General features: G+C 41.0%; 2 long non-coding RNA genes across 3 annotated transcripts in view, besides 1 other annotated feature; one reads left to right on the top strand and one right to left on the bottom strand.

Moving 5' to 3' along the window:
• Nucleotides 1-7,229: 7,229 nt before the first annotated feature.
• On the bottom strand, nucleotides 7,230-9,631 carry FAM88B (family with sequence similarity 88 member B). Its single transcript, NR_126047.1, has 2 exons — nucleotides 9,273-9,631; nucleotides 7,230-9,129 (listed from the first exon to the last, which is right to left on the bottom strand). It is a non-coding gene; the product is annotated as a family with sequence similarity 88 member B (long non-coding RNA).
• Nucleotides 8,920-13,289, top strand: part of LERFS (lncRNA negative regulator of fibroblast-like synoviocyte migration, SYNCRIP interacting) — a 40,232-nt gene continuing 35,862 nt past the window's right edge. Inside the window, exon 1 of one of the 2 annotated variants that reach the window (NR_122076.1) lies at nucleotides 8,920-9,478. This is a non-coding gene — a long non-coding RNA (lncRNA negative regulator of fibroblast-like synoviocyte migration, SYNCRIP interacting). Of the gene's footprint in view, nucleotides 9,589-13,289 lie in introns of both variants that reach the window. The other variant, NR_122077.1, reaches the window with a different exon arrangement.
• Nucleotides 9,019-9,498: an enhancer, noted in NCBI's record as "active region_28435". NCBI's record gives its function as "activates an Ori minimal core promoter by ATAC-STARR-seq in GM12878 lymphoblastoid cells {active_cell/tissue: GM12878}" and the evidence as "EXISTENCE:reporter gene assay evidence [ECO:0000049][PMID:35858748]".

The following is a 13,289-nucleotide window of genomic DNA, read 5'->3' as shown; positions in this document are numbered from 1 at the left end:
GTGCCTTAGTTACTTCTTTGGGTTTCACTTCCATTTTAAAACTTTTTTAGCTTTTTGGAATTCTTATTTTGTAGCTCATTGACACATTTTTAAGAGGTTCTTGATATGTATTCCAGAAGCTTTAGTTGTTTCCAGCTGGTCCTTATCAGCCCTACTGTTGGAAATAAAATTCTTTCAACTTGTTCTTTAGCAATGTACAGGCTCCATAGAGCTCTCGCTGATCCTGAGGCAACAGGGTAAGAACGTCACTTAGGAATCAGGCTGGCCTGAGATCAAGTCTCAGATCCACCAGCAGTGTGACATCAGTGCCTCGCTTTCTTTATAGGGTTGGTGATATGGTTTGGCTCTGAGTCCCCAGCCAAATGTCATGTCGAATTGTAATTTCCAATTACAATTGGAAATTGAATCTTACAATTGGAAATTGATTATTGAATCATAGGTGTGGACATCCCCCTTGCTGTTCTTGTGATAGGGCTCTCATGAGATCTGGCTGTTTAATACTGTATATTAACTTCCCCTGTGCTCCTGCTGTCCATACGAAGATATGCTTCCTTCCCTTTCACCTTCTACCATGATTGTAAGTTTCCTGAGGCCTCCTCAGCCATGCTTCCTGTACAGCTTGTGGAACCATGAGCCAATTAAACCTTTTTTTCTTTATAAATTACCCAGTCTCAGGTACTTCCTTATAGCAATGTGAGAACAAACTAATACAGAAAATCGGTACCAGAGAAGTAGGGCATTGTTACAAAGATACCCGAAACTGTGGAAGCGACTTTGGACTTAGGTAATAGGCAGAGGTTGGAACAGTTTGGAAGGCTTATAAGAAGACATGAAGATGACGGCTGGGCATGGTAGCTCATGCCTGCAATCCCAGCACTTTGGGAGGGTGAAGCAGGTGGATCATTTGATGTCAGAGTTTCAAAGCCAGCCAGACCAACATGGTGAAACTCTGTCTCTACTAAAAATACAAAAAAAAATTAGGCGGGCATCATGGCGCATGCCTGTAATCCCAGCTACTCAGGAAGCTGAGGTAGGAGGATCATTTGAACCCAGGAGGCAGAGGTTGCAGTGAGCCAAGATTGTGCCACCGCATTCCAGCCTGGATAACAGAGTGAGACTCCATCTAAAAAAAACAAAAACAAAAACAAAAATGAAAACAAAACAAAAAAACAGAAGACAGGAAGAAAAGTTTGGAACTTCCTAGAGACTTGCTGAATGGTTGTGACTGAAATGCTCATATAGTGATACGGACAGTGAAATCCAGGCTGACGTGGTCTCAGATGGAGGTGAGGAACTTATTGGGAACTGGAGTTTGCAGTCACTCTTGCTATGTTTTAGCAAGGAGACTGGTGGCATTGTGCTCCTACTCTAGGGATCTGTGGAACTTCAAACTTTAGATGATTTAGGGCATCTGGCAGAAGAAATTTCTAAATTTCTAAACAGCAAAGCATTCAAGATATAACTTGGCTGCTTCTAACAGCATATGCTCATATACATTCACAAAGAGATGGTCTGAAATTGGAACTTATATTTAAAAGGGAAGCAGAGCATAAAAGATTGGAAAATTTGCAGCCTGACCATGTGGTAGAAAAGAAAAACCAAATTTCTGGTAAGACATTCAACTCAGCTGCAGGAATTTGCATAAGTAAAGAGGAGCAGAATGTGAATAGCCAAGATAATGGGGAAAATGCCTCCAGGGCATTTCAGAGATCTTCACAGTAGCCCTTCCCATCACAGGCCTGAAAGATTAGGAGGGAAAAATGGTTTCATGGCCTAGGCCCAGGACCCCACTGTTCTGTACAACCTCGGGACATGTCACCCTGAATCCCAGCTGCTTCAGCTCCAGCTGTGGCTAAAAGGGCCCCAGATACATCTCAGGCCACTGCATCAGAGGGTGCAGCCATAAGAAGCCTTTGTGGCTTCCATGTGGTTTTAAGCTTACAGGTGCAAGGAAGGCAAGAGTTGAGGCTTGGGAGTTTCCACCTAGATTTTAAACGTTGTATGATAATGCCTGGATGTCCAGGAGGAAGTCTGCTGTAGGGTCAGAGCCCTCATGGAGAGCCTTTACTAAAGCAGTCTGGAGGTGAAATGTGGGTTTGGAGGCCCCACTCAATGTCCGCACTGGGGCACTGCCTAGTGGAGCTGTGAGAAGAGGGCCACTGTCCTGCAGGCCAGAGAATGGTAGATCCATTGAAAGCTTTCACTGTGTGCCTGAAAAAGCCACAGGCACTCAATGCCAGCCCATGGAAGCAGTCACTGGGGAAGTACCCTGCAGAGCCATGGGGCAGAGCTGCCCAAGGCCTTGGGACCCCAACCCTTGCATCAGTTTGGCCTGGATGCACACCATGAGCAGTAATGGGAAAATTCTTATTGAAAAAGGCAAGAACAAATCAGCCCAGTGAGATGAATTACATGTTGCACTCCTTCCTGGGATGGAAGAATTGAACAATGATAGGATCTTCTACATTTCGGTTTTTACTTTTACTGACTCATGGGCAGTGGCCAATGGCCTGGCCATGTGACCAGGCAGAGGGACAATGGCAAACTGGGCTGTGAAAGGATGTCCACATGGAGCACAGCACTGCAGGAATTTAAAGGGCACATTAAAGTAGGTCATGTCAATGCCCACCTGAAGAACCCCTCCCAGGTTCAGTGATCAGATCTGGTAGGTGGATATCCTGGTGACCTTGAGGTGGCCACCTGGGCTTAACAAAGGAGTGGACACAGGGGAGCTGCAGCCGTGCAGGGATGGGCTGCTCAGCAACACGTCCCTCCTCCACCCTCAGAGGCACCAAATGCCAACAAGAACCGTCCTATCTGACAGCAGGAAGACAGAGACTGCAGGTGGCTATGGGGCAGATTCCCAGTGGGAAGGCACCACTCATAGCTAACAAGTAGATTATACCAGACTGAAGCCAGTATCCCTGGGAGGCTATAATGGGTCCTGACACGTTCTCTGGACTGGGCTTTGCATAGTCATTAGATTCAAATCCCAAAAATACTATAAAAGAACTGGAACAGATGATAAGACATCAACTTGGACCACCAAGTTTTATTTCTTCAGGCCAAAGAACACATTTATGGCCCACAGTGTCCTATAATGGACATACCATGTTGCATATTGTCTTCATCTCCTAGGGCTGCCATAACAAAGTGCCACAAACCATATGGCTGACTTACAAAACAAAATGCACTGTCTCACAGTTCTGGAGACTAGAAGTCTGAGATCAAGTTCTTGGCAGGGCTGGATCCTTCTGAGGGCTGTGAGGAAGAATCTAATCCACACTTCTCTCCTAGCTTCTGGTGGTTTGCTGGCAATCTTTGGCATCCCTGGGCTTGTAGAATTCTGCCTTCATCTTCATATGGCATATCCCCTGTGTTATCTCTGTGCACAAATTTCCCTTTTTTATAAAGACACAAATCATATTGGATTGGGGGCCCACCCTATTACAGCATGACCTCATCTTAACTAATTACATTAACAACAATCCCATTTTCAAAAAAGGTCATGTTCTTAGGTACTGGGGGTTCTGAGTTCAGCATATGAAATTTTTATTTAGGGTAACATATATCCCTTTTTTCAGTTTTTATTGTGTTAAAACACACATAAAATTTACCATCTTAACCATTTTAAGTGTACAATTCAGTGGTATTAAATACATTGATAATGTTGTACAAGTATCCCCACAACCCATCTGCAAAACTCTCTTCATCTTGTAAAACTGAAATGATATTTATTAAAACCTAACCCCTACCCCCTCTTCCCAGCCTCTGGCAACCACCATTCTACCTTCTGTCTATGAAGTTGAATATTCTAGGCCCCTCATTTAAATGGAATCATGCAGTATTTGTTTTTGTGACAGGCTTATTTCACCTAGCATAATGTACTCAAGGTGCATCCATGTTATAGCATATGTCTATATGCTATATAGACATTTTCTTCCTTTTGGAAGCTGAATAATATTCCACTGTATGTATGTATATGTCAGATTTTGTTTTTCCATTCATCCCTCAATGAATGCTTAGATTATTTCCCTTTTGGCTATTGTGTCTAATGCTGCTATGAACACGGGTGTACAGATATCTCTTTGAGACCCTGCTTTCAATTATTTTGGTATTCCACCCAGAAGTGGAAATGCTGGATCATAGGGTAATTCTGTTTCTAATTTCTTGAGGAATCACCGTATTGTTTTCCATACTAGATGTACGGTTTTATATTCCCACCAACAGGAATATAAGCATTCCAAACATGAATTTTGTGGGAACATATTTCAAACCATAGCAGTCACCAAAAGCTCAAGCAACAAAACAAAAAATAGATCAGGTCAATTTCATTAAAAAGTTCTGTGTTTCAAAGTTGACATGGTTTGGCTGTGTCCCCACCCAAATCTCATCTTGAGTTGTAACTCCCAGAATTCTCATGTGTTGTGGGAGGAACCCAGTGGAAGGTGACTGAATTATGGGGGCAGGTCTTTCTTGTGCTGTTCTCATGATAGTGAATGAGTCTCACGAGATCTGATGGTTTTAAAAATGAGAGTTTCCCTGCACAAGCTCTCACTTTGCCTGCTGCCATCCATGTAAGACGTGACTTGCTCCTCCTTGCCTTTCATCTTTCGCCATGATTGTGTGGTCTCCCCAGCCACATGGAACTGTGAGTCCAATAAACCTCCTTCTTTTGTAAATTGACCAGTCTCAGGTATGTCTTTATCAGCAGCATGAAAACAGACTAATACAAAGGTTACATAAGAAAATAAGGACAACCACAGAATGGGACAAAAACTTATAAGTCCTATATCTGATAAGGAACACATGTTCCAGACGATATAACCACTCTTACAACTCAATAAAAAGACAACGCAATTTAAAAATGGGCAAAAGATGAATAGACATTTCTTCAAAAACATGAAAAATGGCCAATAAGCATGTGAGAAGGTGCTCAATAACATTCATTATTAGGGAAATGCAAATCAAAACACAATGATACACCACGTCACCCCAATGAGATAACTAAATTCAAAAGACAAACAATAAGGAGTGTCAGCAAGAACAGGAAACTGGATAATAACCTTCATTCAATGCTGAGGGAATGTAAAACCTTTTCTGTTTTGGAAAACATTTTGGTAGTTTCTCAAAAATTAAAACAGAGTTATCATATGATCCAGTAATTACACTCCAAGGTATATACTTAAAAGAAATGAAACCACACAAAAACGTATACCTGAATGTTCACAGCAGCATTATTCATCATAGCCAAAGTGGAAACAAGACCACTCAAGCCAGCCCTGCCTCGGAACCTGACAAAGTTAAATGGAAGCCTACACAGCTGAGCCGCATTTCCATGGGAGACATTTTGGTCATTCCAGGTGATGATGAACTACACCAATTGTTAGTGGCTGAGAAGAACCTCAGGAATGTGCCAGCATCTTTTGACTTTTATTTTGGGGGGCTGCATCTACTACCACAACATGCAATATGGGTAACACTGGCATGGCTGGTTAGATTTGATTACCTCATGCAAATAAGTCATGTGGTAATACTGATATTGATGATCAAATGTATTGGGAGATTGAGTTAAAGTCTCCTCAGGATGTAATACCAACGGAAAATGAGTCTTTAGAAGAACTATATTTAGTCAACCATCACCTAATTTCCAGATAAATAGTTCTGCACAGGTCATATAAGATACAAAGAGCAGTAGATCAAGGGGGAGGATGATCTTGGGGACTCCTGAAATATACTGTCAATAACCCAGATATCCTCCAGTAAATAAATGGATATACAAAGTGTGGTATACATACATATGTACATACAGTGGAACATTATTCAGCCATAAACAGGAATGAAATACTGATACAGGCCACACAATGAATGAACCTCAATAAACCGTAGAATCCTGCTAAGTGAAAGAAGCCAGTCAGAAAAGACCAGATATTGGATGACACATTTATATAAAATGTCCAGAATAGGCAAATCTAGAGACAGAAAGCAGATTCATGGTTGTCAGGGGTTGAGGGAAGGAGGAAATGAGGAGTGATTAAGTGAATTAATGCATGTTAACACCTTAAACTTTGGGCAACTGCCCAATCACACAGACAGTGCAGTCTCATTCATGGGCTACATGACAAAACAAAGAGAAAAGCCTGGGTAGAAATACCAACATGTATGTCATGAAAAATATAATACCTAAATAAACAGAGAAACTATGTTCCTTAATGAGCAAATTCAATATTATAAGGTTGCCAATTCTCCTCCCATAGTTTCTCAAAAGTTGCAATGTAATGCAATTTTAATCTAAATGGCATGGTTATCTAGACAAGAAAAAAATTGATTGTAAAATTTATATGAAATAATAAAGGTGTGAGAATTGCAAGGAAAATTTTCAAATGGAAAATTATTACAGGAGAAAGGAGTGTGGAGACCTTGCTCTGTATGGTAGAAGTCAAAGACAGCTACCATCAATTCTTTCCCTTCCTCAACACACATTGCTTCTCAAGAGGTGAGGAATAGCTCCCTTCCCCTTGAATCTGGCTGCCTTGCAACTTGCTTGATCCATAGAAAATGCCATAAATTCCATTCTGGGAATTCTACTATTGGATTTTTTTTTTTTTTTTGAGATGGAGTCTCCCTCTATTGCCAGTCTTGAGTGCAGTGGTGCAATCTCAGCTCACTGCAACCTCCGCCTCCCAGGTTCTAGAGATTCTCCTGTCTCAGCCTCCCGAGTAGTTGGGACTACCGGTTCACACCACCATGCCCAGCTAATTTTTGTATTTTTTTTTTTATTGGAGACGGGTTTCACTATGTTGGCCAGGATGGTCTCGATCTCATGACCTTGTGATCTGCCTGCCTTGGCCTCCCAAAGTGCTGGGATTACATGCATGAGCCATCGTGCCTGGCCCGATTTTTTTTTTTTTTTTTTTTTTTTAAGAAACTGAAGCCTCTACTTCGGTCTCTTGGTAGCCTTCCTCCTGGGAAGCTCTTTCTTGAATCTAGTCACCATTCCATTCCACCACGCCACATATGTCTTCTCCAGGCAACAGCCAACATCAATTGTCAGCCATGTAAGTGAGTTTCAGATGACTGTGGCCCCGGCTAATGTTTGACTGTAGCACATGTGAGAGGCCCCATGCAGAACCACCTAGAACCATGGAGAGCAGTCACCCTGCAGAACCATGAGTAAGTTAAGCTTAGGGGTGGTTAATTACGCAGAAATAAGTAAACAGAGCACTCCACCAGGTATTAAAGATTATTACAAAGATTATGTAATTAAAACAATACAGAACAGACCAGGGTTGACTACAAGATCAATGGGACAGAATAAAGTTACATATCCAATGCCTGCTGCTGACCACAGGGATTTGTCACAGATCTCATCACTTAGAAACCCTACAGTGGTTTCCCTGGTCACCTTCCAGTCACCACTACACCTTGGCTCCTTTTAGCACTCCTCCCTAGCTTATCACTATATAAAATTGCTTTATCTCTTTGTATTGTCTGTCACCTGCCACCATAATGTGAATTTCTAGACCTCCATAGCATGTAAAGCTCTAGAACAGTTCTTTGAACACAGAAGGTGCTTGACAAATATTTTCTGAAAGAAAAAGAAGATACTTCAATACCTCAGTTTACTAAGGACGTGGGGCTACCATATGGCTGCCTGAACAAATACAGCTTGACATTCACTTTCTTGCTACTGATTGAAGTGTATTAACTTGTGTAATCACACAACTACCCTATGGGGTAGGTGCCCTTATTTCTCCATTTGGCAGAGAGGGACTAAGTATCTTAACCAAGGTCACACGGCTTTCAAGTGCCAGAGCCAGGACTCAGATCTACACAGGTCTGGCTCCAGAGCCCCCAATCTAACCTCTTAACCTCTCTGCTTTACTGGGCTAAACCTTCACCACCTATCATATGGAAAAAGAAATTCAATAGAAAGTTATATGGAAAAAATACAACCCTGTGTTAATATTAGAAAATCCATAGTAACATGTAGAATGAGGAAGCTTCCTCAAGCCCAACTATACAGGTCAGATCGGTTGAAAAAATAAAACTAACAAATTTTTACATGTCAAAATATGCAATATTTGAAAATCCAAGGCTAATATCTTTAAATAGGCAAAGATTTATTAATACCCCTTGACACACAAACAGGAAGTGAGAAAATGGGCAACTGACACAAATCGATAATTAACTGTGAGGACATAGGTGGTGGAGTCTCTCCTAATCCTCTATTCTTGGAGATCTGAATGCCTGCCATTCGCGTATGGGAAGAACAGAGACGGTCATGGAAAACAGCATTTAATCTAGAAAGGACCACAATGAGGTCAAAGGGCGGTCTCAGGGCAGTCTTAAGAGCTCCCCATCCCCAAAGAACTGGCAAGGACTCTCCAGGTGCTCGTATGCGACTGCTGCCCAACTCCCATCATGAACTCAGAAGACCTGTCATTTTCTGAAATTTTCATGACTTCTAAGACACTAGTTATTGGGGAAAACTTCAAATTATTTAAATAATGAGAGGCGAATAACATTGCTAAACTCATGAATACTCTGTATTTAAAACCTCCACTGGCGATCAGGGCACATAGAATCTCTACTACTGATCCCTGACGCTGGCCATCCCCCAACCCGTCGGCCCACGGACCCCAGCCCTGACCCCACCTCCTCCCAGCATCTTACACAAGGATTCTCACCACACTCCCCAGAGACTCGCCTGCCCAGGGCCCCTCTCTAACCCCATATAGCTCAGGTCTCTGATCCAGAGACTGCATCACCGACCTCTCCGACTACCTATTTCCAGATTAGAGTCCCTGATCACAGAGGCATTGTCTAAAATAACTAGCTCTTACAACTATGTCCACTTCAGGAACCGCCCTGTGATGTCAGAACTTTGAGGCCGCCCGGCCAGGGCTGCACATGCTCAGTGAGGTCGGCGCCCGCCAGTAACAAACATGGCTCCCTGAAGCCGCTCAGGCTCAAGAGCAACATGGAGGTCTGCACTTAATCGCTCCTCTCCGGGGGCGGCCATACCGAGGAGGCGTCTCTTCCGTGCAGGCAGGCTCTCCTGGGGACCTCAGAGATTCTCTCCAGCGGCAGCGGAAAACGGACAATGGGTGGATTCGGGTCCAGATTCTGGTAGGAGGGAGTTTGGGATCGAGATCTGGAAAAAAGCACTAGACTGGAAGAGGACGCGATGGAGTCGGAGCCGCTGGCGGGGACAAAAACCAGAGGCCGGGGAAGGCGCCGGTGGGAGGCAAGGCACGGATGGACTTTACCTGCGCACGCGTCGCAGCCATCTCCGCGCACAGTGGTGGCCACCGCGACTGGTGCTGAAGTGTTGGCGCGTGCCGGGCGCTCCGCTGGGACCCGGGTTGCTGGCCCTGAGTCTCAGCTTTCTCATCTGTACGGTTGGGACAAGTACAGTAACCCTCGCCCGTCAAGACGGGCCAGGGCTGTGGCGAGGGTCCACGCCTTAGAGCAGGTACCTATCTTGTGCAGGGCCCTGAGATGGGGTCTGACTCAGTTCCTGCGGGGAACTTCACCAGTGACCCAGTCAGTGCCCTTCAGTTAAAGACCACCAGGAGCACACTTGTAAGTAAATATAATTACATTGCAGCAAGGAATGGGGTACTATGGGTCATCTCAGTGGGAGGAGTTAGAGAGAAACTATTATACGATTTGGACTTTAATTGGTTGATTTCGGACAGGATCTCAGAAAGTGAAGACTTTAGATTGGATGCTGTCAGAAAGCAGGAGCAATATGATTATTAAGTATTTTGTGGGTGGCATCAAGACCTTGTTTTTTATCTGCACTTAGACAACATTATAAAGTGCCCTTGTTTTTGTTTGCACTTATCACGGTCTCAGATTAACCTTCTGAAGTTGATATTCTGTGAGATTGTTTATGTCCAACAGGAAAACAAAATGTCCTGGCCATGAGCATCAGACCAGCGTGTAATCACATTAAGGCCTGTGACCCAAATATTGACAGAATTGAAGTTAGAAATAGTTCTACAGTAACAGAGTCTTCAATACTCCATTTAAAATAATGCATAGAAGCTGGACATGGTGGCTCATGCCTTTAATCTCAGCTACCTGGGAGGCTGCGGCAGGTGGATTGCTTGAGGTCAGGAGTTCGAGACCAGCCTGGGCCTTTTGGCCTGTCTCAGCTTTTAACATACCTTCCTCACTCAGCTTAATCATTTCTCACTTTAGATTTATAATAAGAGATGTGTGACTCTTACTTTCACTTGAACACATAGAGGCCTTTATAGAGTTATTAATTGGCCTAATTTCAATATTGCTGTGTCTCAGAAAACAGACCTGAGGAGAGGGTGAGATGGAGGAAGGGCAGATCGATGGAACCATTTGAATACACATATGTATCAATTAAGCTCATTGTCTTTTGGAGCATGGCTTGTGATGCCCCAAAACAATGACAATAGTAATATCAATGATCACTGATAACAGATCACCATAACAGATATAATAATAACAAAACATTTGAAATATTGCAAGAATTACAAAGATGTAACACAGAGGTGCAAAATAAGCACATGCTACCAGAAAAGTGGCACTGGTAGACTTGCTTGGTGCAGGGTTGCCACAAACCTTCAACCTGTACAAACTGCAATATCCGAGAAGCATAATAAAGTGAAGTGCAATAAAACAAGTTAAGCTTGTATATGTATGCATGCACACACCAGTACACATCCACCTATCCACACACAAATCTTTGTACTAACAAAGCCTGTATTTTCAATTCCAACAATACATCATTTGTACCTTAAAAATCTCTGTCATCCTTGTAGTGTCCTTTTCTGTCTTTGTTATCAGGGTAATGCTGGCCTCATAAAAAATGTTTGGAAGTGTTCCCTCCTCTTCAACTTTTGGAAGAGTTTGTGAAGAAATCGTATTAATTCTTCTTCAAACATTTGGTAGAATTCTCCACTAAGCTATCTGGTCTTGGATTTTCCTTTTTCAGGAGCTTTTTGACTACTGACTCAATATTTTTAATCATTATTTATCTGTTTTTATTTTCTATTTCTTCATGTTTCAGTCTAGTGGATGTATGTTTCTAGAAATTTCTCTATTCTAAGTTAAACAATTTGTTGACACATAGTTGTTTAGAGTAGACTATTATTATCCTTTGTATTTCTATGGTACCAATTTTAATATCTCCTTTTTTGTTCTAATTTTATTTACTTGAGATTTCTTTTTTCTTGGCCTAGTGAGAGGTTGGTCAATATTTATTATCTTTTCAAAAAATCAACTCTTCGTTTCATTGATCTTTTCTATTGTTTTTCTAGTCTATTTCATTTATTTCTGCTATGATCTTTGTTATTTCCTTCTTCTAATTTTGGGCTTGATTATTTTTTTCTATTTTTTGAGGTTTATTTGGGATCTTTTTTCTTTATTTAGCACTTATCTGTATAAACTTCCCTCTCTTAGAACGGCTTTTGCTTCATCTCATCAGTTTTAGTATGTCGTGCTTTCATTTTAGTTTGTCTCAAGATATTTTATTTCTTTTTTGATGTTTTCTTTGATCTACTGGTTATTCAGGAGTGTGTTGGTTGATTTCCACATATTTGTCACTTTTCTAAGTTTTCTCCTGTTTTTAATTTTCAGTTTCATGCCACTGTAGTCAAAAAGAATACTTGGTGAGATCTCAATCTTCTTAAATTTGCTAAGACTTGTTTTCTGGCCTAATATATGACCTATGTTGGAGAATGTACTGTGTATGCTCGAGAAGAATGTGTATTTTGCTGTTTTGGAAAGGAATGTCATGTATATGTCTGGTCCATTTGATCTATAGTGTAGTTCAAGTCAGCTGTTTCCTTACTGATTATCTGTCTGAGTGATCAATCCATTGTTGAAAGTGGGACATGGAAGTCCCCTACTGTTATTGTATTATTGTTGTCTACTTCTCTCTTCAGATTTGTTAATATTTGCTTTATATAATTAGGTGCTCCAATGTTGGGAGAATATATATTTGCAGTAGTTATATCCTCTCAATGAATTGACCCTTGTATCATTCTATAACGACTTTGTCTCGTTACAGTTTTTGACTTAAAGTCTATTTTGTTTGTTGTAAGAATAGCTACTCTGTCTTTTTTTGTTCCCTCTCTTTCTGTCTATGTGTGTCTCTAAAGGTGAAGTGAGTCTCTTATAGGTGGCATATATTTGGTTCTTGTTTTACTATCCATTCAGCCACTCTGTGTCTTTTGTTTCACTAATTTGGTCCACTGATATTTAAAGTAACTATTGATAGGCATTTTGTAGTTTTTTTGTTCTTTTATTTCTCTCTTGCTGTGCGTGATTTGATTACGTTGATTATTTTCTGTAGTGGTATACTTTGATTCTTTGCTGTGCCTTTGTATTAATTCTTTTTTAAACATGTGGTAAAATTCTCATTTGTGTATCTGTTACATGTTTTGTCTTTGTGTTTATCATGAGGCTTACATAAAACATTGTATGCTATCATGTGCCACACAAGGATGTTTTGGTCAATGATGGGCCACATATACAACGGTGGTCCCATAAGGTTATAACATTTTTATTGTACCTTTCATATGTTTAGATACATTAGATACACAAATGCTTATGATTGTATTACAGTTGCCTATAGCATTCAGTATAGTACAATGCTGTACAGATTTGTAGCCTGGAAACAATAGGTTATACCAAATAGCCCGGGTGTGTGTTAGGTGGTATTATCTAATTTTGTGTAAGTATACTCTATGATATTCACACCATGACAAAATTGCATTATTCAGGACATGTCCGCATTAAGAAATGCATGATTGTAGTTATAATGGTCTATTTTAAGTTGATAACAACTTAACTTCAATCATATACAAAAACCCTACACTTTACTCCCCTCCACTTATGTTTTTTGATGTCAGAGTTTCTTTCTTTGTATATTTTGTAATTATATTTATTTGTAGTATTTTTTGTCTTTTAACCTTTTAAAAGTTAAAGTGATTATACTCCATCATTACAGTATTAGGAGTATTTTGAATTTGACTGTACAGTTACTTTTACCAGTGACTTTTTATAACTACATATGGTTTCATGATACTAATTAGTCTTATTGCATTTCAGTTTGAGGAACTCCCTTTAGGGTTTCTTATAAAGCAGATCTAGTGATAGTGGACTCCCCTAGATTACTTTGGGGGGTTTCTGAAAAAGTCTGTAAGTCCTAGCCAGAGCAATTAGGTAAGAAAAAGAAATAAAAGGCATCCAAATTGGAAAAGAAGTGAAAGTGTCTCTATTTGAAGATGACATGATCT

This window comes from Homo sapiens, chromosome 9 (assembly GCF_000001405.40).
Source record: "Homo sapiens chromosome 9, GRCh38.p14 Primary Assembly".
NCBI classification, from domain to species: Eukaryota; Metazoa; Chordata; class Mammalia; order Primates; family Hominidae; genus Homo; species Homo sapiens.
This window is presented reverse-complemented; position numbering and strand designations above follow the sequence as displayed.